The 26,147-nt window shown below is 48.3% G+C and overlaps 2 protein-coding genes and 1 long non-coding RNA gene across 20 annotated transcripts in view, besides 4 other annotated features; 1 reads left to right on the forward strand and 2 right to left on the reverse strand.

Moving 5' to 3' along the window:
* CDAN1 (codanin 1) lies at positions 839–14,423 on the reverse strand. 9 transcript variants are annotated; one of them, NM_138477.4, is made up of 28 exons: positions 14,308–14,423; positions 13,597–14,075; positions 13,170–13,373; positions 12,805–12,974; positions 12,556–12,669; positions 12,395–12,473; positions 11,521–11,641; positions 11,233–11,342; positions 10,392–10,481; positions 9,628–9,703; positions 8,915–9,120; positions 8,506–8,626; positions 8,220–8,366; positions 7,893–8,059; positions 7,423–7,510; positions 7,091–7,180; positions 6,863–6,917; positions 6,524–6,657; positions 6,318–6,421; positions 5,947–6,105; positions 5,499–5,562; positions 5,250–5,328; positions 4,916–5,064; positions 3,605–3,712; positions 3,392–3,455; positions 2,784–2,965; positions 2,439–2,546; positions 839–1,911 (listed from the first exon to the last, which is right to left on the reverse strand). In NM_138477.4, exons 1-28 carry the CDS (start codon positions 14,395–14,397, stop codon positions 1,786–1,788), a joined length of 3,684 nt encoding a protein of 1,227 aa, NP_612486.2. In that variant the 5' UTR covers positions 14,398–14,423; the 3' UTR covers positions 839–1,785. The 9 variants fall into 9 exon arrangements, 8 of the variants coding, with proteins under 8 accessions (NP_612486.2, XP_005254233.1, XP_011519573.1 ...); XM_005254176.6 differs by having other exon boundaries at positions 13,170–13,376; XM_011521271.3 differs by having other exon boundaries at positions 14,284–14,423.
* Positions 7,951–8,478: an enhancer, noted in NCBI's record as "H3K4me1 hESC enhancer chr15:43022854-43023381 (GRCh37/hg19 assembly coordinates)". NCBI's record gives its function as "activates a minimal SCP1, AML or CMV promoter by ChIP-STARR-seq in primed H9 embryonic stem cells {active_cell/tissue: H9 hESC(primed)}" and the evidence as "EXISTENCE:reporter gene assay evidence [ECO:0000049][PMID:30033119]".
* Positions 13,650–13,939: a silencer, noted in NCBI's record as "silent region_6376". NCBI's record gives its function as "represses an Ori minimal core promoter by ATAC-STARR-seq in GM12878 lymphoblastoid cells {active_cell/tissue: GM12878}" and the evidence as "EXISTENCE:reporter gene assay evidence [ECO:0000049][PMID:35858748]".
* Positions 14,030–14,169: a silencer, noted in NCBI's record as "silent region_6377". NCBI's record gives its function as "represses an Ori minimal core promoter by ATAC-STARR-seq in GM12878 lymphoblastoid cells {active_cell/tissue: GM12878}" and the evidence as "EXISTENCE:reporter gene assay evidence [ECO:0000049][PMID:35858748]".
* Positions 14,360–14,609: a silencer, noted in NCBI's record as "silent region_6378". NCBI's record gives its function as "represses an Ori minimal core promoter by ATAC-STARR-seq in GM12878 lymphoblastoid cells {active_cell/tissue: GM12878}" and the evidence as "EXISTENCE:reporter gene assay evidence [ECO:0000049][PMID:35858748]".
* TTBK2 (tau tubulin kinase 2) overlaps positions 16,025–26,147 on the reverse strand; it is a 182,271-nt gene continuing 172,148 nt past the window's right edge. For all 10 annotated transcript variants that reach the window (XM_006720402.5, XM_047432189.1, XM_005254173.6 and 7 more), the window contains one exon: positions 16,025–23,552. In XM_006720402.5, coding sequence (XP_006720465.1) covers positions 23,090–23,552 — 463 coding nt within the window. In that variant the 3' untranslated portion in view covers positions 16,025–23,089. The remainder of the gene's footprint in view (positions 23,553–26,147) is intronic.
* TTBK2-AS1 (TTBK2 antisense RNA 1) lies at positions 16,413–20,497 on the forward strand. The gene is made up of 3 exons (NR_186317.1): positions 16,413–16,530; positions 18,748–18,858; positions 19,297–20,497. It is a non-coding gene; the product is annotated as a TTBK2 antisense RNA 1 (long non-coding RNA).

Here is a 26,147-nt window from a genome sequence, read left to right on the forward strand (position 1 = left end):
AAAATGAAGAGATCAGGGGAAAATGGTTCAGATATAGAAACTTGTTAAAGGAGTAGCTGAGCTGAGGAGAAGGGAAAGGCATGGTGTTTGGGAGAAGTATGATCACAAGGTGGTGACTGAGGAAAACTCCCATTTTTTACTTTCTAGGTTGATGGGATTTCCTGGCTCTACCATGGTCACACAAGTGGACCCCTTTAGGTCCTCCTGAGGATTATATTATCAGTCCAACTCCTGGTTATTAATGCACATGATCACAGTAGTGCTTTTTTTTTTTCCCCTCAAAGAGATGGGGGTCTCACTCTTGCTCAGGCTGGAGTGCAGTGGCACAATCATAGTTCACTGTAACCTCTAACTCCTGGACTCAAGTAGTCCTCTCTCTCGGCTTCCCAAAGCACTGGGATTACAGGTGTGAACCTGTCAAAATCAGTGGCTCATTTATAGAGCTTGATACAGCTGTAATCGAGAAGCAATGCTTTTGCTCTGAGAAACTCCAAGCCAAATCAATCAAACAAACACCTTAGCCTTAACAAGCTTAACAAGAACACTGCCCCACCATGTGGTTCAGTAGGGAATATCTTGTGTGTGGAAACTACATTATCCTAACCCTTTCTCCCACAAATAAAGCGAGTTACACAGGAGAAGTCAGTACCACTGGCGATAAATTAAATTAATAGATATTGCCACCAGAGACTAGCCCTCTAGAGTGGAATATACAGGCATTTCTAAGAGCCAAGGTAGCTCACCTTGTAATGCACAGAGCAAAGCCACAATTACAGCGCTCCACCTACAGCCCACCCGAGACTGCAGCCTTCTAAAGGGAGAAGACAGGTGACAATGATTAGACATCAAGCCCTTGTTAAAGAAAACCAGTTTATTCTAAAAAGCTCTAAATGCCCTGTGCTTGGTCCCTGGTCAGGGAGAGGTCTCAAGAGGTTACTACCTGCACAGGGGCTGAAGGTACAGGGGGAAAGTCAGGTTTCAGTTGGTTGAGTCCTACCTTATCTGTTTGTTAGGCTTTTTCTAGAAAGTCTCGCTCTGTTACCCAGACTGGAGTGCAGTGGTGCGACCTCGGCTCACTGCAACCTCCACCTCCAGGTTCAAGCAGGTCTCCTGCCTCATCCTCCTGAGTAGCTGGGATTACAGGCACACACCACCATGCCCAGCTAATAATTTTTTTATTTTTAGTAGAGATGGGGTTTTGCCATGTTGGCCAGGCTGGTCTTGAATTCCTGACCTCAGGCAGTCCGCCGACCTCAGGCCTCTCAAAGTGCTGGGATTACAGGCATGAGCCACCAGACCCGGCCTGTGTTAGGCATTTATAAGGAGATGGCAGTCCAGCTCCTGGTGATAAGAAAATGTAGACTCCCAAGATTCATGTTTTAACTTTCTTCATAAGTTAAGCAGGAGTCATTTGCCTCTGTCATGAATTCCAAGACTACAAAGTTTTAAGAGATGCTGGGATAGCAAATGAGGCTTGAATTCTGTGTTGACAAGCCCACACACCTCATTTCATTTAGTATCCAAGAGATAAACAAACACCACCTCTTCTACTCCAGGACTGGCATCTCTGGACTTTTCTGCCATAATCCCAAATCAGGCCAACTCTCCTTCCTCTAGGATTCGCGTGGTGGGATGCCAGGCAGTGACACCCTTAGAGCAGGAAGTCTGACTGTAGACCCAGCTACACCCCAACCAGTGAGGGTCTGCATTGGGCACTTGGGCCTCCTCGTGAGGCGGGGGTCCAGGGTTCTGGTGCAATGCCCAAGGCAGGGCCACTTCTCAGCCCTAGCTCTGGGCCAGCACAGTGCCCCGGTTTGGCTGCACCAACTCACAGGCTCTTAGCTGGGGTTCTGGCAGGTGGGGCTCGGCTAGAAACAGATTAGACAGTGTTGCTAATTCTTCAGCAAAGTCCTGGAATACATAGAAAGATGAGGGAAAAGGCAGCATGTAATAATTCTCAATGGCTCATCCTTTGTCACTAAAGACCACAACCTGGCTGGCTATATTATTTTTTCTCAACTGCCCTCCACACTGAAATGGACATGAAACCTTGTCTGTTTGTTAGTACTCTGGGAGGCTGAAGTTATGGCAGGGAGCGAACTCTGATGGAGGCACAGGCTTGACCAGTTTTTGAGTACTACTGAGTGCATCTACTTCATCTTGAAATTATTATTCCCGTTAAAATCCAGGTTATTCTAATTTTAAAAACCCATATAATGGGCTGTGCTGCTTTCCAACTAACTGCCTGCCTTTCGTCCGTCTTCCCACTAACACAGTCCCTCATATAATAACTACTCAAATCGGGACAATTTCAGGGTGGCCCTGAAGACTCTTGACAAAAATCCACTTAGTTTGGCCCCATCACTTGCTTCCTTTCAGGACAGATGGGATATGTAACACCTGTTCTCTCTCCACCTAAAAGACAGGAGACTCCTTACCCCTGGCCACTGGGCCTGGTGGAGGCTGCCCAGGCAGGCCTCTATCTCCATCCGTCCCATCAGACCCTTCTCCACCAGCTCCCGTAGCAAGAATAGCAGCAAGTCCCACTGCAAAACACACCGAGGTCAGGGTTGCTAGGAGGACGACAGAGTGACCCTGATGACAGAGATTGAGATCTCAAAGGGCAGAGCTGCTGGGAAGAGACTTGAGATGGATAAATGGAGCCCATTTCTGTGTGGAACAGGAAGGGGAAATAAAGGATGCAGAGCAGCTCATAGTTTGGGGCAAGGGTGGTGGATGTTCAGAGTGTGACTGCAGAGGGCTTCTTGTTCCGTCTGACTCACCTCCCTTGGCCTTGTGTCTGCCAGAAGCCCCACATTTCTTGGGCTCAGCAGCAGCTGCAGCGGAACCGGCCCCTGAAAGTCTTCCTTCCACAAGGAAAGCAGCATGTGCAGAAGCCTTCGAGCCTGCCCTCTCTCCAGCCTGTACTGTGCCGGGGGCCCTAGGATAGGAATTTGATCTGCAACTGTGGAAAGAGGAAAGCCAAGCTTTAAAAGATGGGGGCAGGCCGGGTGCGGTGACTCACACCTATAATCCCAACACTTCGGGAGGCTGAGGTGGGCAGATCAGGGGTTCGAGACCAGTCTGGCCAACATAGTGAAACCCCATCTCTATTAAAAATACCAAAATTAGCCAGGCGTGGTGGAAGGCACCTGTAGTCCCAGCTACTTGGCCGAGGCAGAATTGCTTGAACCCGGGAGGCAGAGGTTGCAGTTAGCTAAGATCGTGCCACTGCACTCCAGCCTGGGCAACAGAACAAGATTCCGTCTCAAAAAAAAAAAAAAAAAAAAAAAAAGGGACAGAAGAGGGCTCTGTTTCTAATCTTGCTTGTACCCAACCCTGAGATTTGGGGGATCAGGCAAGAGAGGGATTTGATGGAAAGCAACCATACCGAGGAGGGAAGCTAACTCCACAGAGCACTTTGCCAGATGCTGCTCAGCAGGTGGGCACAGGAACTGCGGTTGGGGTGGGGGGGAAAGAGAGACCATAGGTATCACCATGCTTACTGCTGCGAGAACTGGCCCTGAGCCAGTGTGGCTCTGGTTATCAGGTCTCACACAAGGACACAGAAAAAAGCCCCCCGGTGGCAGATGCCACAGCTCACCTGGCGGCACCGCAGCGTCTGGCCCAGCTGGCCTAGGAGCTGTTCCAGATGCTCTGGGGAGACTCCCTCGTCAGGGTCCCGTGGCCCCACGGCCAAGGAGAGCACGTCCTGTGAAGAGCAGGGGGAGATATCACCTTGCGCTGGGGGCCAGGATGCCACAGAGAATTTGGCTTGGGACAGGGATCAGCCAGTGGAGAGAGGCAGAAGAATGGGCCCCGGGATATGGTGAGTAAAGCCAAGTTGCCCCTAGACCTGGGACTTGGGCAGGATAATACAGCCAGGGGAAGCAACCATGTGGACAACAAAAGAGGGAACAGATGGAGGTCAGCTGAGGGACAGTAGGCTGCCATAGCATGGGAAACGTCACTCAACTTGGGACCAAACTGTAGCTAACCAACTCCCATAGGGCATCTTATTCTTGAAGCATGTAAGGAAACCGGCCTATCAGATACCGTCTTAGTATCGTCTGTCTCTCAAGCCTCTCTGTTCATCTTCTCTGGAGAGCTGAGCTTTCAATACAGAAATCCTCTGCATATTGACAACCAGTATCAAATGGCCACTAAGCCTCTTCCTCTCCCTCCTACATAATCTCCATTTTTTAGTCATTGTACCTTATAGTCCCTATTCCAATCTCTATTCCTAGATCATTACCCTAGACCAGAACCAGACAGTAAATATTTTAGGCTTTGCAGGCCATAAAGTCTGTGTCCCAACTATGCAACTCTGCTGTTCAGTAGTTGCACAAAAGCAGCCATAGGCAGCTCGTACACAAATTAATATGGCTGCATTCCACTAAAACTTCACTCACAAAACAAGGGGCTGGCTCGCTTCAGTCCATGGGCTGTTTCTTGACTCCTGCTCTAGAGAGTCTTTGAGTTTTAAAATAAAGTTAGGAGAACTGATGGTTTATTCTTACTGCCTGTAACTAAACAAGCATCACCTCCCACATAGAACATTTCTGAAATTGTCTCCAAATACTGGGGCGACTGCCTCCTAGAGACTCATTTGCTATCAAGCCATTCACCACCGCACTCTCATCACCATCTGCATAATAAGCATTTAGTCAAAAATGTCCTAGCTGCCCTTTTCCCCTTTTGGATGATTAAAAAGTCAGAGTGACAATTAGGAAAACCATTCAATTCAGCTCTGCCCTACCTAACCCCCATTCAGTAATGAGTGAAACGGGGACTAGCTGGACAGCACAGACAGCTTCTACATAAAAATCCTGGAGCTGATGTGAGAAAGGAAAAACCAGGAACAGAGCAGGGGGGTGGGAGCAGGGAAGCCAAAGGGAGTAGGGTAGCCGTGTACTTTTATCTCGGAGATGAGGTGGGAGGGGAGGGGAGCATGGTGCTCACAGGCGCGGGAGCAGCCCCTCCGCTCCCCCCGGGCAGCAGGTTCAGGACCCTGGGCTCGAAGTGTGCGACTCACTGCTGCTTTCACCTCCCTCCTGATCAGTGCTGTGGGGCAGAGGGAGAATGGGAAAGGAATCACGGGAGGGCCCTGCACAGGTTCACCATGCTAACCCATGCCTTTTGCTGTTTCCTACTGGCTCTCAGTCCCATCGCCCACAAGATGCCTCTGACTCTCTGCCAGTCCACTTTTTAAACACTTGATTCAGCCACTCCCCCATCCAGGACCTTACCTGTGATGTTGGCTGACAGCCAAGCACAGGCTTTCTCTGTTGCAAGCCCCACAGCAATGTTCTCTGCACTGCTCAGAACCTGCGAAACAGAACTACAGAGTCAGGGGCTAGGGGAGGGCTGGGTGCAACAAAGGATGCCAGAGTCGAGCACTGACCCCGCCCCCACACACCCTCCCGCAGCCTCAGACTACTCCGTGCACCTCCCCACAACTGCCTGGCCTGCTAGCTGCAGGCCTCCCTCACACGTACGGCTGCCGGGGTCTCCTCTGGAAGCAGCGCCCGCACAGCCCCAGGGCTCTTCCTTTGACAGAACCTAAAAGGGGACAGATGGGGTCAGTGATCTCTGGGTATTTCAGCCTGGCTGCAGAAGTAAATGCCCCGAGTGCACCAAGCCCCTGACCTGGGAGGCTGTACCTTGGAAGGAGGCACCGTTTGCCCTCCCGCCCCACCCCAGGTGCCAGAGAAAAGACAAGCCCAACTGCCAGCCCCACAGCATCACACACGCTCCCAAACCTAGGTTTGGCTTTTGTGCCACAGAAGGCCTACAGCCAGTGCAGGGCTTATAGAGAATGGGCGCAGGGAGAAGAAAAAAGGAGGCATGAAGAGAAGAAAGGGAAAAAAGAGTAAGTGTGAAGGAGGAAAGAAAGGACAGAGAAAGCCAAGAGGAGAGTGGATCAAATGGACCAGCGCTGCTTACTCCCGCCCCAGGGCCAATGCCTGGGCCCCGTGAGGGCACAGCTGGGAACACAAGATCTCCAACAGCTGGGCTGGGTCTCCCCCTTCCTCTCCCTGTGTCACCAGCTGCTCTTGGAGAAGTGACTCTGCCTGGCGCACCAGATCTGCCACCAGTGTAGCCCTGCAGCAGGGACAGCAAGGTTGGGGATGGTTGGAGGGTTAATCGGAAAGAGGCTGAAAATTTATGGGAATTTGGTCAGAAATTTGCTTCAAAATGTGTCAGCCATTTCAGCCCCACACCCACCCTCTGGCTGACCTTCTCAGTTTAGCAACTGAGGAAAAAGGGGAAAAAATGGTAGGGCGATGAGACCAGGATCCTTAACCCACTCTTACTTGATATGTTTGACACAGTTTGATCCAATTCTTTCTGCCACGAACTCTACGGTCCGGCGCAAGGAGGGCGGCTGGTTGTGGAAAAAGGCCTGGGCGAGCTGTGCCTGGGGGGAGGAGGGAGAGGCAGCAAGGCTTCCTCCAGCCTCCCTGTCCCCGCCCCCAACCCCCCCTCATTTTCCCCACGGCTGTCTCCGCCCTGCCCTTACCTGCAGCCCCTGGCTGGTCTGGGAAGGCTGGGCTCCCAGGCTGGTGGTAGTGGTGGGGGTGATTTTCCTCATGAAGCCCCCACTCCGTCCACTACTGCCTGACACCCACGAAGCGAGCAGTTTCCGGAGCTCTCCTGTATCAGTGAAGTCCAAGTTCTCAGTTCCAGAACCCTCTCCCCTCCCTAAGTATCATGGACTTTACTTGTGGAGTCAAGAGGCTCAGATACCCAGGAATGACTATGAACGGAGCAATATCCAAGGGAGCTGGGCCAAGGGGGTGCCTTTTGGGTACTCATGGAGGGACAGACCAAGGACCGTCCAGGGAAGACCGGTGCTCACCGATGTAGGGGCAGCAGGTGTAGAGCAGCTGCTGGTCCACCACAGGCGCATTGTCCTGGGGAGAAAAGGTTGGTGTCAGCAGACTGCCCCTCCCCCAGCGCACCCAGAAAGCAGGCAGTTGGCAGGGCCTTTACAAGGGTTACATCTGCCCCTGGCTGGGCCTCCCCAGGCAGCCCACTTCCTTTATTCCTGAGTTTCCCATGGCTCTGGCGGAACCCCAGCACTCACCAAGCCATGCTCTGGGGCTACTGTGTCCACCTCAAAGGCATATGAGGGACCCTCTTCCAGAAAGAACAAGTCCTCAGGGACTGTGGGAATCTGGCAAGACAGTCACAATTCAGGTCAACTTCAGAGACCCCCACCCAACCCACCCCACCTCCTGCACGGTCCCAGGGTGTAGGCGCCAGCTTCAAAGCAGCCACCTCTGAGATGATGGGAATCCCCAGGCCTTTCCTGAACCTTCGTCTTCCAGCCCTTGCCTCATTCGCACTCAGACATTTGCCCACTCCCCATCTTCAGCTGTAGAACCTCTCTCCAATCTGGACCCTCACTCTGCCCACCTGGAAAAGCCAGCCCAGGACAGCAAGTAGCAGCAGCTTGTTCAGGAAACACATCTTCCCCTCACTCTCCTGCGACAACACCAAGCTCCTGAAACATCAATGGGCAGTACACGGGTTTGAGCAGAAAGGGGAAGGGAATGGAGGCAAACGCCATCAGTGGAAACTGGCTTGCAAAAGCAGAACTAAAAGGGACTGGGGCCATGTTGGCAAGCAGGATCCCCCCAGCCCCGCCTCCTGCATGGGGACTGTCTCTCAGCGGGGCCACCTCAGGAACAGCATGAGGCCAATGAAAGTGCAGATGATTTCCCACTGTACCTCAGGGGAGCCAATCGTGCCTCTCCCAGGGCTCAGTTATGGCCAGGGCCCCACACGCACAGTGCAGACTGCTCGACCCTCTTTATTAATAGCAGGCTTGACCAATGTCCCGAGTCCCGAATCCTTTCATCAAGCCTCAGCCTTGTTCCACTCACCGGTGCAGGCGCAGCAGGAGAGTGAAGATGTCCCGGTAATATTCCAGCAAGGGAACAACATGGTCAGCAAAGGAGAGAAACTCCACCAGCCAGGGCACGGTGAGCACCGCCCGGCGGGCCTGCAGCCCTCGCTGCAGCAGAGTCCGCACATCCAGGACCGGAGGGACCTGGGAGGGCCAGAGCTCAGTCAGGGGGCAGGTCCCTAGGAAGGGCTGGGAGATGCCCTTTAACCTGCCTGGTTTCCAGAATAGCCAAGGAAACCAGTCAGCTTCAGTGCCTGGCCGGTCCTCCCTGCTCCCTCCTCACCAGAATCCCCCGCCCATTCACCTGGCTCCTGAGGGCCAGAATGGAGTCCTGAAGCTCACCGGTCGGGGGAGGTTCAGGCCCCCGGTATGGCAGGAAAGCCACAAAGCCCAGGAATTTAGCCAAAAGTCTCAGGCTAAGAAGCACCACAGCAAATTGCTTCCGCTCACCCTGCATGGAATCAAGGGAAGTAAAAGGTCCAAGCATGAGGCTTCCAGAACAATTCCCGATCTGTTATAAAGTTTTTCTTGAACATACTCCCTTCCCTCCTGGGTCAGACCCCATTATTTCCCTTGTTCTGTTTTCGGACCTGCCAGTCTACGTCTGACTCCCCGTCTTCATCATTGGGCTCATGCTGGGGCAGGGCAAGACCATTGAGCTCCTGGATCTTCAAGCTCAGACTGTCCATGAGATGCTGGTTAAACTGGAAGCTGAGAAGAAGGGGTGGGTGGGGCATAAGCACTGGAAGAGGTACAGGAAAAGCCAGAATCGAGAAGGGGCACTCCAGAGGGAAGGGAGCAGCAGGACAGACAGGGAGGCCCAGGAGCAATGAAATCACCCACGTGGGTGACAGAATGAGAAGTGCAATGAAGCCAGCAAGTTGGAGCTGGAAGGAGCCTATCTCCAGGCAAAGGAGACTGGAGAACTATTTACCCTTTTGGGAAGCCAAACCTTTCCTGGCCTCTGCCCCATTCCTTGCAAGACACAGGGGAGCCTACCTGCTGGCACTAAGGATGAAGTCCCTAAAGAAGCCTTGACAGCCTGGGAAGGTGGGGGGTGGGCAGGGCCCCCCACTGCTCTGAGGAGCCATAAGCCGTTCCTGTAGGCGCCACAACCGCCCCAGCTTGTCAGCTCCCAGCATACTCAACACATCTGGGGCCTCGCCCAAGACGGTGCCCCCAGCACCACCAGGGCTCTGACACATCTAGGGTGGAAGAGGAAGGAGAGAAATTAAAAAAATCAGCAAGTGGGAGGGAAGGACTGAACAAAAAATAAGGAGAAAGTAATGAACATTTAAGGAATGCCAACTGTGTCAAGTGCTTTAGATAGATTTTCTGAGATGTGAATTACAGTATTGTTTCACAGGTGAAGAAACTTAAATTCCAAGGTTAAGCATGTGCCTAGGGTCACTAGAGCTAGGATCTGAAACAAAGCTTGACTACTTACTAAGCCTGGGCTCTTTACCACAGCACAAATCAGGGAAGGCAGCAGCAGGCTAGAGGAGCTGCAGGGCCCGGGATGTGTCAAAGAGAGTGCCCTGGCTTTTCTGTGGCCACTGGAGTTTCAGCCACTCCGCGAGGAGTAGAACTCTTGTTCAAATTCCAGCCCAGGACCTGCCAGGCTGTCTGCCCTATCCCAAAGTGCAGCCGTTAAGTGGCTGCCTGTGATGCCTGCTGTTTAATGTGGATTAATCTCTTGCTGGGGCTGTTACCTGGAGTAGTTGTTTTTGGAAAAGCCGAACAAAGTGGCTGTGGCTGCAGGCTGCGGAGAGCTGACCCATCATGGCCCTGAGGAATAGAAGGCAGGAATGAAGGGTGTGGAAAGGAGGGAGAGGGAGAAAGATCTGAGAGAAGCAGCCAACCCCTGGACTTCCCAGCCGTTTACCAGGGACTTGAGCAGACCTCAGCCAGAGCCAGCCTGCAAAGGGACACTGAAGGCAAGGGACACTCCCTCAGCACCAAGGTCCTCCGAGGCTAGAGGTGCACTTAACCAAACAAGAAATCATGCGACCACACCCCCCGACCGTCTTCAGCCACACTAACAGGCGGCGGGTTTCATGAGCAATGTGAAGGGAGATGACTGGACTGAGGTTCGCGTTCTGAGCCCAGGCATCTACCTGCACAGTGACCAGACTTGCCCAAATTAGAGGATGGAGAAGATGGAGGCTGGATGTGTCTAAGCAGTGACTTGGGCCAAAAAAACCTCAAGCAACCTGAGTTAAGAGCTTTGGACTTTCTAAGCAATTGCCACTACAGAACAAGGATAAGACACCTGTGAGTGGAAGGAGCTGGAGAGACACATCCCTTTCGAATAGAGGCAGAGTTATCAATAACTAAAGAGATTTCGGAGGATAGTAGAAAACAGCTAATGGCTGGTAGGAGCGGGGAAAACCTTCCCTCCTCCTCCCTCCTGCCACCGAGCAAGCACTGAGCTACTCATTGCCAGGAACAAGAAAGACAAGGTCTGAGCACCCACCTGATTCTGCTGCCCAAGCCCTTCTCAAAATCCCAGCCAGGCTCCTCATGGTGATCTTCCCACTCTCGCAGCACCTCATAAAACACATCCCTGACGCATAAGAACGCCTGATCAGCCGAGGCACTCACTCCCACCAGTGCCTTCCTGCCCCTGGAAGAACTATCCGTAGCCCACCCACCACCTTTTTTTTTTTTGGAGATGGAGTCTTGCTCTTGTCACTCAGGCTGGATTGCAATGACGCGATCTCAGCTCACTGCAACCTCCGCCCCGCCTGGGTTCAAGCGATTCTCCTGCCTCAGCCTCCAGAGTAGCTGGGATTACAAGTGCCCACCACCACGCCTGGCTAATTTTTGTATTTTTAGTAGAGACGGAGTTTCACCATGTTGGCCCGGCTGGTCTCAAACTCCTGACCTCAGGTGATCCGCCCCTCGGCCTCCTGAAGTGCTAGGATTACAGGCGTGAGCCACCACACCCGGCCAGCAGCCCCATTTTTAAATTTCTCCAGAGTTCTCTATATGATGACAGTAGTGCTACAGACCAGCAGCACATTACAGGCTTCATGTACTTCTGTGGGCAGTGACAGTTCATCCTGGCACACTCTTGCTTGAGAACCCTGAGACTAAAACCATACACCTGTGAGATGGCTTGCTAAGCGCCGGGGTTCACAGATGCACATGAGAATGAAGCCAGGTGGTCCCTATGATGGCCGGCAGGAAGGACCTGGGGGGACTAACCCACCACCTGTTGGTGCCAAACTCCTAATTTCTATGAAACCAAACAGCTGCCTATTCCAGAAAAATGTCATCTCATTCCCTCCCCAAAAAGTCCCTTTTCTTATCACCTCTGTTTCTTAAAAGTATGAAAGGCTCGGTCACTGGAGAAGTTGGCACGATTGTCAGTCTCTGGCTGAAAGGAGACAGCTTGAGTAGAGGGAGGCATCACCAGAGAGACCTAAAATACAGCAGGAACGTTAGGAACTGCAGGGTCATGCTGAGAAAACTTCTCCCTCTTATTCTTGCCCAGAGTTAGCTCACATTACACTGAAGTGTCGTCAGCAGGGTTGCCTGAATTTATGAAAGCTAGGAAGGGTTAGGTCCAGGCTAGTGGGCAACTAAGCTGGGGTTACTACCTTGGCAACACTGCCCTCATAGGCAGCTCGAAGGCGGCCTTGCAGAGCTGGTGAGAAGCACAGCAGCCGCTCATTCTCAGCCAGCAGCTTCAAGGTCCCTTTGTCCAGGTTGGAAAGAACCCTGCAGGGACAAGAGCACCTATGACTGAGACCAGAACACAGACTGCAAGTAGGAAGCAAGCACCTGCACACCACAGAGGATCTCTAAGGCATGGCGCAGGTATGCAAGCCCAGATATGTACTGCAAGGTCATGGGCCAAGGATCAAAGATAATGAAAGTCAAGGGGAGGATATGAGACTTTACAGAGCAAGGACCAAGACAGCAGGACAGGAACATTACCCAGAAACCAAAGCTCAGCTGCCAAGACCACAGGGGTCCATTTCTTTTTCTTTTTTTTTGAGATGGGGGTCTCTGTCACCCAGGCTGGGCTGGGCGTCACCCAGGCTGCAGTGGCGTGATCTCACTACAGCCTGGACCTCCCAGGCTCAGGAGATCCTTCCACCTCAGCCTCCTAAGTAGCTGGGATTATAGGCGCACTCCCCCACACCCGGCCTTTTTTTTTTTTTTTTTTTGGTGGAGATGGGATTTTGTCATGTTGCCCAGGCTGGTCTAAAACTCCTGGGCCTAAGTCACTGTCCTGCCTCGGCCTCTCAAAGTGGTGGGAATGCAGGCGTGAGCCACCACACCTGGCCCGATCTCAATTCTTTCAGGGACTACATTCATAGCCTTAACACAAAATTAAAGAAAGATTATAGGTAGGAGAAGGTCCAGGACCACTGCCCCTGTGTTAAGCACCAGCATATATCCCAAGCAGCCAGAGAGCTAAGCAGATGATGAGAATGAGGCCCAAATGCCTCAGCCAGGGAAACTCACTGAAAGTGACACTCCAAAACCTGCACTGCAAAGAAGACACAATCGTGGATGCTTTGGAACAGTGGACTTTCCAGGGAATCTAGAAGGACAGTACCAAGCTGTCAGTTAAGAACGGTCCCGTTTCTAGACCCCATGTCTCAAAAGGAGGCTTGCTCACTGACCTAGGACAGCTGGACTTAGTTCAGGGTCGCTGTCCTTGGCAGTCACCATCCTCCGGGCAGTGAGGAGCTGAAAGACGAAGAAAAGCTCCAAGAAGAGGTTTGGTACCAGGTTCTCTAGATAGATACAAAAAGAAAGCCCATGGTATGGGCACCATTTGGAGCCAAGGCTCAGTTCCAAGTGCCTTACCAATTCTCTTACCCATAAGTTCTACAAGTGTCTCCACTCCCGCTCCCTCCGCTCTCACTCACCAGCAATGCACGAGGAGTAAACAAGGGCTACAAGCTCCAGGCGCTGGCGGGAAGACACTCTGGCAGGGTCTGCAGGTTCATCTGTGAGGCTTCCTGTCCGGCTGGGGAGGGGCGACCCCAATTCTGGGGTGGGACAGGTGGGGGTAGGTGACTGCTGCAGCTGCTTAGAGCTATGGAATAAAGAAATTTCATGAGCAGTCAGCTTGGCTTCCCTGCTACGGCCACACTCAGGTCACTCCAGAGAAGATACCAACAGCCCAGGAGACAAACCCAGAGTCCCCAAGAGGGAAATCAATTTCAGGGAAAACCCCTGAAGATCCCCCACAGCGAGGAAACCGATATCCCCAGGAGCGGCCAGGCCATACCGCTCCTTCCTGAGCATCTCTCGCTCCTCTTGCAGACTTCTGCACCCTGGGGGAAGGCCAAGGCCCCAAGGGCTAGTGTCCAGGGCTGAGGGTTGGGAACTGGGGACACAGCTGATTGGGGGTGAGGTGAAGCAGGTCTTGGGCTTGGAGAGTGACCGCTCTTCGCTCACCGGAGTTGGGTTGATCCTGCGAGAAGGCTTCGTCCTGCTGAGAGTAGCCACAGGTTTTTCTCAAATTCCTATCTTCAAACATCTCCCCTCCACCACCGCAACAGCTAGACCTCTTGCCAAAAAACCCCACAAAAACCCTCACCATCACCCCCAGCCTTCTACCCATCCTGGCGCTCCACTGCGGAGCGCCGAGCTCGAATGACTGACTCCCCAGAGCCTTCGTGGTACCCATCTCCTGCATGAGAGCTGAGTCTCACCCTGTAGGGCCGGGGGGAACCGAGCCTACGGGAGGGAACTCCTCCAGGTTGCTGAGGTTTGGCGGATCAGACAGCGTGAGGCTGGGGCGGCTGGGGCTGCCAGAGCCCCTAAGCCTCCGGCCCCCGGCTCCGGGCAGGCTCTCCCCGCTGACCCCCTCCTCCAGGCCGCGGCCTCCACGCTCGCGGGCCGGCCCCGGGCCCCGCCTCCTGCCCCCGCGGCGGGCCAGAGGGGCCTCGGCAGCGGTGCTCTGGGCCTCGGTCGGAGGGAAAAGCTGGCTGCGCGCCCCGCGGCTACCCCGCGGCGGGCCTCCCGGCCTCCCTGGCAAGGCTGCCGAGGCGCCCGGGGTCTTGGCGGGGGTCGGGGGCCCCTGCGGGAGGACGCGGCTGCTCTGCTCCCTCAGGAAGTTCAACAGGAACGGTACGAATTCTTTCCGCAGGGCCCGGAGTGAGCTCAGCGCGGCCGCCTCCCCAGCGTTATCCTAGGGCAGAAGCACAGGTGGAGGGGCGAGAGGGTCAGCCGCCGGCCCGCGGGCCGTGAGCAGCCGGGGCCGTAGGGCGCGCCTCGGGTGGGCGGCCCGGGCAGCGGCGCCCAGTTGGAGTGCACTCGGCCCGGCTGGCAGCCAGGCGCCCTAGAGGAAGGGGACTGGAGGGCTGGACTCCACTGCGGGAACCGGCTTCGAGTCAGACCTGGGGGCGTGTCACCGCTGTTACCTCCGAACCCTGGGTGCTGCGCGCGATCCACCGCACGACGGCTGCGACCGACACCTCTTCTCGCAGCAGCGACTCCAAAACGGCCGCCATCCCGGTCGGGGCGCTCTGGGGCGACTGCGCAGGCGCCGGCGCGCCGCGGGCGGCCAGGGAGGGGCGGGGCCGGCGGCGGGGAACGACCGTTGGGTCGCGGGATGGGGAGGGACCCGGCTGGCGGGGCGGGGCGGAGCCGGCTGTTGCCCAGACCCACGGAGTCAAGGCCTCGCTGAGTCCTCAACCCCGGCCGAGAGGCCGGTTGTTAGGAGGTGAAATGTGGATCACAGCGCCTGGGGAGGCCCACCTTGGCTGCCCGCCCTGGAGCGACCTGAAGGGAGGGATTCGAGCTGGGAGTGGGGCTGCCGCGGGTCGGACGCCCCTCTAGGGAGACCCAGGACCCGGGAGAGAGGTAGAGGGGAGCAGAGACAGCCACCAGCTTCTATCTTCTGCTCTAAGCACATTCTTTCACGAGTTTAAGTTTCCTAGATCCAACTGGCACCACCCCAGAGAAATTATAATCTAATCTTTCATTTTGACTTTGTTCTTCTCAAAGGCCGATTTTTCAATCCCTTGGCCGAGCAGTACCCATCGGCTTTTCAGCGCTCACCATCAACTGACCATTTAGGAAAGAATTATTTCTAGGAGGTTCTTAATAATCCCCAAGCCACAACCCTTAAAGTGCCTCGGGCCACCCTGCACACAGAATTGCTTGTATGTAGCTTTATTTACTTAAGTGGGTTTACATGAGGTTAATATTTCAACTACTTTGCAGTTTAGATGTCAGTAAGCATATCATGATTAGCTTCTGGGAGCTTGAGGTTTGTATTTTTGGGTTTGGTGTTTTTTGTTTTTGTTTTGTTTTTTTTGAGACAGGGTCTTGCTCTGTTGCCCAGGCTGGAGTGCAGTGGCGTGAGCACGGCTCACTGCAGCCTTGGCCTCCTGGGCTCAAGCAATCCTCCCGACTCAGCCTCCCTAGGGCTATAGCCCAGCTAATGTTTTGGCCGGGAGAGGGCAGCAGATCCAAAGTGCTGGGATTATAGGCGTGGGCCACCACGCCCGGCCTGAGTAATTTCTTAATCTCCTTTATTTAATTTTATTTTGAGATGGAGTCTCGCTCTGTCACCCCCGGGGCTGGAATGCAGTGGGAGGCAGAGGTGGGCGGATCACGAGGTCGAGAGATGGAGACCATCCTGGCCAACATGGTGAAACCGTGTCTCTAATAAAAATACAAAAATTAACTGGGCGTGGTGGCACGCGCCTGTAGTCCTAGCTACTGGGGAGGCTGAGGCAGGAGAATCGCTTGAACCTGGGAGGCGGAGGTTGCAGTGATCCAAGATCACGCCACTGCACTCCAGCCTGGGTGACAGAGCGAGACTCCATCTCAAAAACAAAACAAAACAAAAAAACCTGAGAGAGGATTTTGAAGGTTGCTGCTCAGTGACAAATCAAGCAAGGGAATCCAAGCGGAGAAAAACAGATGGCACGAACATTCCATGTCAAACCAAACCAGGAGGGGTGAGGCAGTGCCCTTGTGAATGCCTCCTGAGAGTTGCTCTGGTTCAAAGGAAGGTTACGGGCGGAAGGATGAGGGTGGGGGTGCAGGAATCTCTCTAGTGGCAGAAGGGGTATTTCCTATGGAGAAGGAAAAAGTACCTCCAGCCAGACAGAATAATGGACTAAAAAGGAGCTTTTAATATTTTAATTTTATTACAGGAAAACATCTCCTAACTGCAGGGACACTTAACACCTAGCTTCTATTCAGTCCTGGGCTGCTTTTTCTAGGGAACTTCTAGATGTGGTACTGCATTTACAGTAACACTATCTGCTCCCCGTTGATCTTGTAACATCTGGTGTATTCAATAACTTTATTAAATTAGAAAAATATTTTCCACTTTTGAAATCCAGACCATCACACAAACAGAACTAGATTTTGCATGCGGAATGAATATTTTATTACTAGGTTATAAAAATAAAATACAAAATAATTTTAAAACAGAACTTAAAACACTGTACAAAGCTTTAATATGATACAAATGGGAAAATTAAATAAATAATTACACTTTTATGTACAGGTGGCCTATACAAAAGCACTCCATGTTTCTGCCGATACTCTGTCCTTGGTTGCCTGAGCAAAATTGTATAAAGGGAGCTGCTTGGAGGGGAAAGGAACACAATAAAACGCCTCTGGAGGTATTTCAAAGAGTAGTTTCTCATCTCTCTGATTTCAGGAAGAGGAGAAGAGAGGGAGAGAAAAGTGGAATTATTAAAGTCATCTAACTCATTGGTCTTGTTCAACAAGAAAGAATTCTGGTTTGTGGCTGAATCTGATTTAACAGCTGCCAATAGCTCATTACTTCTAAGATGTATATCTAATTCAAAACTAGATGCTCCCCCCTCCCTCTTTTTTCCCTAAAAGCTGGGAACTTGTAAGTAAATGGCCTAGTGAAATAGACACTGGCTATTTTAGAAAAAGGGTCAGAAGGTAGACCAGGAACTATGTATCAAGGAGAAGTAAGTGAGGCTCAAGCCCAGGCCACCTAGGCTGTGTTTATTCAGTCCACCCAATCCAATGTCAAAGCCCCAAGTGGGCCAGTGTTACCTTTATCTTCCCATCTTTGTATTTCTGAAAGCTTTGTCACCTCAGTGGACTACTTTGGCTGATGAACAGTTCAAATAGAAGATTGTTTTGGAAAAAGTCCCAAGGGCTTTCCCCTTCCTGGGTAGCTCCCTATAAGTCAAATTCAAGTTCTGGTAGCCTTGTTTACCCCTTGTAGGCGAGTGAAGAATGCCCACACAGAGTTCAGATGTGGTGAAATGCTGGGCATTGATTCCTCAGGATTTAAACTGCATATTATTAGAGAAAAAGAGCATCATATGGCAAGGGTAGTCTATATAAAAACTTGGTTTACTCAATGTTTTTAATTAGGCGAGTGAACACTTATGTACATAATATTAAATAATATTAAACTAATAAAAAGAGAGGTAAAATTCCTATCCATTGTTATTGTAAAATTATATCATCAGCAAATTCTATAGTCACATGGGCTCAAAGATCTGCCTCATCCAATCTTGTTCCCTAGGTCAAGGAACCCAGAGCCAGGGTACCTGGGAGGCATGGTCAGCATCGCCAGTGTACATATATTCTGTGCCCATACTACCACTAACGCTTCCAGCTGAAGAGGAGGCAGAAAACCGTTACATTGCACAGGGCCATGAAAGGAAAGGCTTCACTACTTTTACATGTTACCTTAAGACCAAAGATCCAGCAAAGTCTAAGGAAATATCCTAATCATTACTGTGTAATGTTACTTTTTTGCTATTCAGTGTCTTGAGATTGTGTGGAAATTCAAGGTGACCTGATCTTGTCACATACTTTAATTTTCTGATCCAAATTTGCTGAAAGGGAATAATTAAACATCAAGCTTAAATATTTTTTTAAGTAGGAGCAGACAATCACAACTGAATTAGAAGACGTCTTAATGGGCATAGACTTTATTTTTGTTTTACTTTTTTTTTTTTTTTTTTTTGAGACGGAGTCTCACTCTGTCGCCCAGGCTGGAGTGCAGTGGGGCGATCTTGGCTTACTGTAATCTTCTGCCTCCCAGGTTCAAGCGATTCTCCTGCCTCAGCCTCCTGAGCATCTGGGACTACAGGCGCCCGCCACCATGCCCAGCTAATTTTTTGTATTTTCAGTAGAGACGGGGTTTCACCCTGTTAGCCAGGATGGTCTCGATCTCCTCACCTCGTGATCTGCCCGCCTCAGCCTCCCAAAGAGCTGGGATTACAGGCATGAGCCACTGCGCCTGGCCTTGTTTTACTTTTTAAAATTTCTGTGAGCTGCTCTAGAAAACTAAAGGACGAAAACTTTACTGTCATAATTCCAAGTTCAGTCAGGGATTTCTCAGAATTGAGGTGTGCAGCATCCAGATTCCCCTTTATGTGGATAGGGATCCCTGTGCCATGTCTTGCACTTACCTAAGAACTATAGGAATTCTCCATGTACCTCCTACAGTTTTTCTAGCAGTGTTGGACAATGGATTCTAAAGGTTCCTGAGACTTTGTTAAATTTCTCATAATTCCAGAGGGAAGGCCAAAATATTGAGAATACTCAATGATAGGATGAGTTTCCACTCTACTTCCTTATCCTCAAGGCACACACCAGAGTTCCACTGGGTGAGGACAGGGAAGTAGGATGTCCCAACACCCTCTGAGGGTTTTCATGCATTAATCCCGCCATATGGGCTGATGGTTGGAACTGCCTTTAGTTCTCTAAGTAAAGGTCTAAAAATGCACCTGTGGTTTCTGAACTTGGGTATACGCTGATACATAAGGACTACCATAGAAGTTACATGCCTTAATCCTGTAATACTTTTGTGTGGTATCATTCTGCTAATATATTGTCCACAGGGCCAAACCCCAAGTTACACAGCGCAACAGTACTTGTCAACCACTCCATCTCCTCAGTGACACAGGTGCTAAAGTACCTCTCCCCTGAGGCAAAGTCCCGACACATCTGTGGTAAGTGCACATAAACAGAAATGGGCAGATTTTGAAAGTGAATGCAAACAACTTAATTCCAAAATACATAAACATGACAGAAGAAGTGGTTCTCTAACATATGCCATGTTTGATCAATATAAAGAATAAGTTTTTAAAATATAAAAGACTTTGATCTCCAAGACTAAATCTAGACTTATCTGCAAATAAGTAAATTTTCAAACAGCCAGGGGAAAATGCATTTTTTTCACCGAGTCTCACTAAATCATTCTGAATTCTGGATCCTGCTTCTCGTATCACCAATTCCTAATGTTAGGAATGTAGAACTGTCTGCTCTTGGGGAAAAAAAAAGCATCTGTTTTTAATTCAAAGCTCTGGGTATAGAAAAACTAATTATGGTTTTAGCTATCTGTGTCTGGGTTTATAAAACATGCACCAATGTACACTTTCTCCTTGTAGATTGAATGCAACTATAGAAGTATTAGCATAAAAATATGTGGCCTGGAAGGAATCTCTGAAGATACTGAAGAACCTCAAGTTCCCTACATTGCTAGGAGCCAAGGGAAGGAGACACTGTACACCTAGAGCGCTGAATTAGCAGCTGAGGTTTTAGTATTTGAAAGCAAATAATATAAAGCGAGTAATGTCTACAGTGGGTCTCAGTTACCATTTGGCTACTTATTTAGGACTCGATTAACTTGGCAACTTTTACAAAAAACATTCACATCACAACATGCAACTTAAAAAACAGTTAATGTAACTATGCCACTGTCAGCAAGGCCAGCTTGCATACCAGAGTTAAGAATGAGAGTGTCTGTCTGCCTAGGGCTTAACATTCAAAGATATTTATAATCTGTGTTTTAAGGTTAAATTTTATATGACCCAGTTTTCCTTCTTTGTTCACTATACACTAAAATTAAACGCCTCTACGCTGTGCAAGAAATCACTATGTGTGATTTTACTATTTCAACCAATCCATAGACCCTGAGGATTTGGCAGCAGAATTCAGGAGAAATGCTACCTAAAGTGATTGAGCTGTTGCTAATTCTACCTTCTGTTCCACTCAAGTACCTCCAGGGACTAACAAGGGAAGGCAAGGGCAACTGTGACTGACTAGGTAACCAGCTATTCTGTTGTGACAGAAGAAACCAGGTAATACTTGATTTTCAAAAGATAATTTTAACTGCTGCCCTATACTACTTTTAGTATAGTTTGGCTTGACCTTAATAGCCATGTCCCTCATCTTAGATAGAATAACCAAATTGGTTTAAAATTACTTGATCTATGTCACTGAAACCTGAAATATGCCATCACTAAGAGAACCCCCAAATAAAAAATAAAGAACTAAAAAACACAACCAAACCAAATCAAACCAAAAACCTCATTCTCTGTATCATACTTTAAAACTAAAATAAAAATCCCTGTGTCACAGGTGCTTGCTCAGGGCTGCCAACTTCTATTTTTCACCTGAGAGACATCTAAAAGCGCAAACTATGCTTGTAAAAACCAAAAAGTAAATCTCTACATAGGACAATACTTATAAGCAGACCTATTGATACCACTTATATATAATTAGTCTGTTTTCTTTAGAAAGTATCAGAGCAGAAACGTCTTTGGTTAATTCTTTCCTCTACATGCAAAATAAAATATTCTTAAACGATGGACTGTTTATCTCTGGATCTTGATGAGTTTGTCAATGCCATTTAGAAAAGGGGACAACACACTAGAAAAGTTGAGATAAAAATGGAAGGAACCAAGAAAGAGAGAAAACATTCAGTTGCCACATTCCCATCACTGTCAGTTCCAACTGCCAGCAGAGAAATGCCAATAAGAAATAAAATCACACACACGTACCACAGTTGTAGCTTCATCAGCTTTTCCAATGATTACTACTAGCATATTTCCGACTAAAGGGGTCAGGATTTAAAGCTAGCTACTTTTAGCACAATTTAGCTAATGCAACAGAAATATGACAATTTCTTCATTATTCCCCCGACCCCCTGCAAAAAAAGTGAGATGAAAAGAGGAAAGTAGAATGGCAATTTTTAAGAAATGTTTTAAAAATCTGTCAGACTCATCATCATCCCAGTTTATCCACTCTAACTATAAGGAGAGAACTATGTGATTAACATGACAAATCTCTGAACCAGTATTACAAGCATGTCCCTGTAATTTTTTCCCTATTAAAATCTTTTTGAAATGAAAATTAAATAACCTATCTTGGCTTGTTAAATACTGCCCACCCTTGCATTGTACACAGGGAAGGCAAGAAGACTCTGAGGTGTCACATGCCAAGAACATAGTTTCAGAAAATGAAGATAGGCAAGGCCCAAGTGTACATGAGGCACACAATAGAAAAGGAATTTCGCCATCTGTGATCTCGAAATTACAAATGGAGAATGACAAAGAATGACTCTATATAAGGATATGTCTCTCTATATATTTATAAATATTTATATAATTTACCATGAAGACATGCAAGTAGTGTTATAGCAACTATTATACAATATAATACAGAAGGACTGATCTTCCAATATTACAGTTGCTTTAGATAAACAGCAAGTATGTCTTATCTATTGCATTCCTCTGGAGTGTTTGAAACTGGAGAGAAATTAAGATTCCACACTATGCTACATTTCTTATAAGAGACGTTATATGCCTCAATAGTGTTTTGAGTTTGTTTTTTTAAAAAGCTCAACACAGATAAAGAGAACAAGAGAAGTTCAGTGCAGCTTCAGGGCAGCTTTGATGCAGCATTAGAAGATGTTCACTTGGGGAGGAAATGTATTCCTTTCTTTTTTTTTTGTTTCCCAATTCAACTGTATTAGGTTTGGCAGCAAACACAAGGTCAAACAGAAAGCACATATGTTTGCTAGAAGGCAAATTTCAACAGCAAGCAGACCAATTTACCTGACCTTAATAAGGTCTTTACAACACAAAACACCTAGAGAGTATAAAAACAGCCCATTTTAAAAGTCTGGTAGACTTTCATTTGCCTGATTCCTATTAGAAGAGTGAGATTAGAACAAATATCTTCCTCTTTACAGCTTCGTAAATTGAGATTGTATGAAAATCAGGCCAAGAAGCCCAAATGTTGAACTAAAACACAGGAGAAGCAGGTAATAAAACATTAAAAAAGAAATATTTGCCTAAATTTATTTCCCCAGATATTAATTCCTTATTGGCTAAATGTATAAAATACAAAGTTTGAGGATTCTAAGCCTCAATAATATATCTAATTTATTTCTAAATCTCAAATCACAGTCCAAAGCATTGTGCTTCCCTCGTATCATCTTGGATGCTGATATTACAAACAGTTGGAACCCAGAAGACTTAAGGAAGCAGTCTACTCTGGTCAGTTTTCCTTCTACTCAAGTTTCTAAAGGAGGACACTTAACAGAGATGAAAGGGCATCTTCTATCTTGAAGGCTATTAACCCACACTTTCTTTCTCTCCCTAAACACTAAAGCCTGCAAAATAGCTCTAGTTAGACTTTTCTTTCCTTTACCTAACTTTCTTATTTTTCATAATAAAAATGTAATATGTTAAGAACTCTTGCTCTAAAAAAAAAAAATCAGGGGGACCTAAAAAAAAGTAATTGGATTTGATAGTACAACTAGGACCATAAAATAAAAGCAGAGAGATTGAATCAGACGAGACATACAAAATTTTAAAAAAAAATCTGAACTCCAGGGAGGGTACTAGGAATGAGGCAAAGTAAAGGTGTTCATTCTCAATACACGAAATAAACACACAAGCCAAATATACATGAATACTGGCTCCCTGGCAACAGACTTCTTATATAATCTAATATCTGATCAATGACTCTTCAGGGTGGGAAAGTTTTGAATGAAAATATCAAACAAGAAGTTTCACTTTTGCTATATAATCTTTGAATTGAGGCTTAAAAAAATTAGGCAACCCCCCTAAAATTCCATTCTATCTCCTATCCTCAACTCTTTTGTTTCAAAGGCAGCTTAAAAAATGAGAGCTCATTTTAATGAGTTTCTCCCCCTTGGATTTTTGCTCTATTTTTCCTTCTTGTACAAAGACATTGATTCCTAATCTACTTGCTGCCTGCCTTAGGTAATTCCTTATCATGTATTATGTCTTCTTATAAATAATTGATCATGTTACTTTCTTTTGCAAGAGAAGATCAACACTGATTTTTTTACATAGAAAGTACAGGGACACACATGCATCAGGTTTAGGAGGAAGATCTCACACCTTTCAAAGAGATGCAGCCTGGCTCCTATCTGCTGAGTTTACTGGCTGGCTTACTCTTCCCTTGGGGGGTTTTAGTGCTGGCTGAGTGGTGGTGGAGGCTGCCGGATCCTTTCAGGCCATTCTTGCTGGGTTTGCAATGCTCCTGTTGGCAGGACCTCCTGGAGGAGGAAGATCCTGAGTGGCTGGGAGGTGACTTGCTTCTCCCCAGATGTGGGGACGAACTCCTCTGGTCATGGTGGGGCCGTCCAGCCCTAGATGGTGAGGAACTAGACGTGCGAGGCAAGGATGAGCTTCGAGGAGAGGCACTGGGACTCCTGCGAGGGACAACTGGACTCTTGGGTGGTGTTTTTGGATTGTGAGGAGATCCTGGACTCTTGCACTGAGTAGTGCTCCGGGGTTTCTGAGATCCATTTTGAAGAATTTGGGCCAGGCGGGAGAAAAGGTCTGAGTCGGAGTTACTACTCCCTAGGACTTTATATCTGCGTAGCCTTAAAAGAACAGAGAAAATATATTTTAATTTTAATTCATTTCAAGTGTGCCTAAAAAGTCACAATGTCCCAAAATCATAATGTGAATGTGTAGAAATCAGAAAATAGACTAACAGGATACAGGGTTACTCTGTCATATACTAGTTGTATGACCCTGGACAAATTCTTCAATCTCTCCCTGCTTTCAATGGGAATACTGTCTATCTCACAGGGTCACTGAACAGACCAAGGGCAGTGACCCAAGTACGTAGATGAACATCTGCCATGAAGAAGCCCTTAAATGGTATTCGTTCCCTTCCTCCTATGCCATGTTTATTCTGCTAATTTTCAGATGAATTTAACTAGCATGTTAAATTGTCTCTAGCATGTTAGCACATAAGACAGAGAGTAAACCATACTGTGTAAGGATGTTAGGACAGGAATCCTACAAACACGAAATCCCACAATGTAAGTGTTTTTTTTTTTAATTTTCTTTTTTCTGCCAAGGATCTGTCACCCCTAAGTCTTCAACATGAACTACACTCAGCAACAGGAGGAACTACAGATAAATGTACATTCAACTCATTTAATAATTTACAAGAGAAAAGAGTAGTCATTGGTTTCTGTGGACCTCAGTTTCTATTCCTGTCAATAGTCTGGGATTAAGGAGGGTGGAGGCTGGAACTGACTGCCCACTCCATACTGGCAACTGAGCTTGGGCCTCAGATTTTTTTTTTTTTTTTTTTTAAACAGGGTCTTGCTCTGTCACTCAGGCTGAAGTGCAGTGGGATGATCACAGCTCACTGCAGTCTCGACCTCCTGGGCTCATGCAATCCTCCCACCTCAGCCTCCTGAGTAGCTGGGATGACAGGTGTGCACCTGTAGTGCATGCCTGGCTAATTTTTATATTTTGTGTAGAGACGGTTTTGCCACATTGCCCAGGCTGGTGTCAAACTCCTGAGCTCTAGCAATCCTCCTGTCTCAGCCTCCCAAAGTGCTGGGATTACAAGCATGAACCGTAGTGCCCCGGCCCTTGGGCCTCAGAATTCTTAGAGTATTCATATGAATAGCAAATGTCTTCTTTGTCCTAAATGTCTTTCTGGTTTGGCCTAAGAATCAAAGAAAATGGAACATATAAAAGTGTTTTTATAAACTACAAAGCAGTGGTCCCCAACCTTTTTAGCACCAAGGAGCAGTTTCGTGGAAGACAATTTTTCCACGATGGGGGGAGGAGGGGCAAGGATGGTTTCAGGATGAAAGTGTTCCACCCCAGATCATCAGGCATTAATTAGATTCTCATAAGGAGCGTACAACCTAGATCTCTCCCATGTGCAGTTCACAACAGGGTTCACGCTCCTATGGGAATCTGATGCCACTGCTGATCTGATAGGAGGCGGAGCTCAGGCGGTAATGCCTCCTGCCGTGCAGCCCTGGGGTGGGGAGGGCCTGCTATAAAGCAGTCTACAATATATTTTAGTGGCAATGCCAAATTACGTAGTGAGAAGGACCCTAGGGCCCCTCTAATAATAAAACTATGGTAATGGAAAGTGTACAGCAAAGGAACAGACAAATGAATGGAACAGAGCATTGAATCCAAAAAGATCCCCATGTTTCTATGGGAAATGAGTATTGCAATATCACTAACTACTTGGAAAAAAACTTCACATCATATATAATGATACACTTTAGATCGATAGTAAATTTATACACAAAGCACAAAACTATAAGGGTACTGGAAATTACTACCTTTTAAAAAATATTAGGGTTGAAGGACCTTCCTATGCATGATATAAAACACAATTAATAAAAAATGTTCAGTTCCATGAACACTAAACTTTTCTATCAAACCAAAGGCACTACAACCCAAGTTAAAATTCAGACTAGGATAAAATATCTTCAATATAATTTGCAGAGAAGGGGGTTAGTTACAGAAAATAACCCAGGGCACGGTGGCTCACACCTGTAATCCCAGCACTTTGGGGGGTTGAGGTGGGTGGATAGCTTGAGGTCAGGAGTTCGAGATCAGCCTGGCCAACATGGCGAAACCCCATCTCTACTAAAATACAAAAAATTAGCTGGGTGTGGTGGCAGGTGCCTGTAATCCCAGCTATTCGGGACACTGAGACAGGAGAATCGCTTGAACTTGAGAGGCAGAGGTTGCAGTGAGCCGGGATCGCACCACTGCACTCCTGCCTGGGTGACAGAGCAAGATTCCGTCTCAAAAGAAAAAAAAAAAACTAACCCAATAGAATGTTTTGACATGAAGACAGACAACAACTCATAGAAGGATCCTCCCACCTCAGCCTCCCAAGTAGCTGGGAATACAGCTGTGTAGCACCCGTGCCTGGCTAATTCTTGTAGAGATGAGGTTTCACCATGTTGCCCAGGCTGGTCTCAAACTCCTGAGCTCAAGCAATCTGCCTGCCTCAGCCTCCCAAAGTGCTGGGATTACAGGTGTGAGCCACCACATTTGGCCCTGGAAAGCACTCTTCACTGGTTTACCACCTCCCAATATTTTCCCCTCTTCCTCAAAATATAAACATTCTGTGGTCAAATATATCAAGATAATATTTAAATAAAAAGTATAGCATGCAGTATATACTAAAGCAGTATCTT

The sequence above is a fragment of the Homo sapiens genome, chromosome 15 (genome assembly GCF_000001405.40).
Source record: "Homo sapiens chromosome 15, GRCh38.p14 Primary Assembly".
In the NCBI taxonomy this organism is placed as follows: Eukaryota; Metazoa; Chordata; class Mammalia; order Primates; family Hominidae; genus Homo; species Homo sapiens.

Excerpts from the sequence above, each read along its gene's own strand:
- CDAN1 (XM_011521270.3), bottom strand. The coding sequence starts at position 14,397 with ATGGCGGCCGTTTTGGAGTCGCTGCTGCGAGAAGAGGTGTCGGTCGCA. Across the intron at positions 9,704-10,391 it reads GGCTTGGGCAGCAGAATCAG|GGCCATGATGGGTCAGCTCT; the intron begins GTGGGTGCTCAG and ends TCTATTCCTCAG. Across the intron at positions 5,329-5,498 it reads CAGAGGAGACCCCGGCAGCC|GTTCTGAGCAGTGCAGAGAA; the intron begins GTACGTGTGAGG and ends TCTGTTTCGCAG.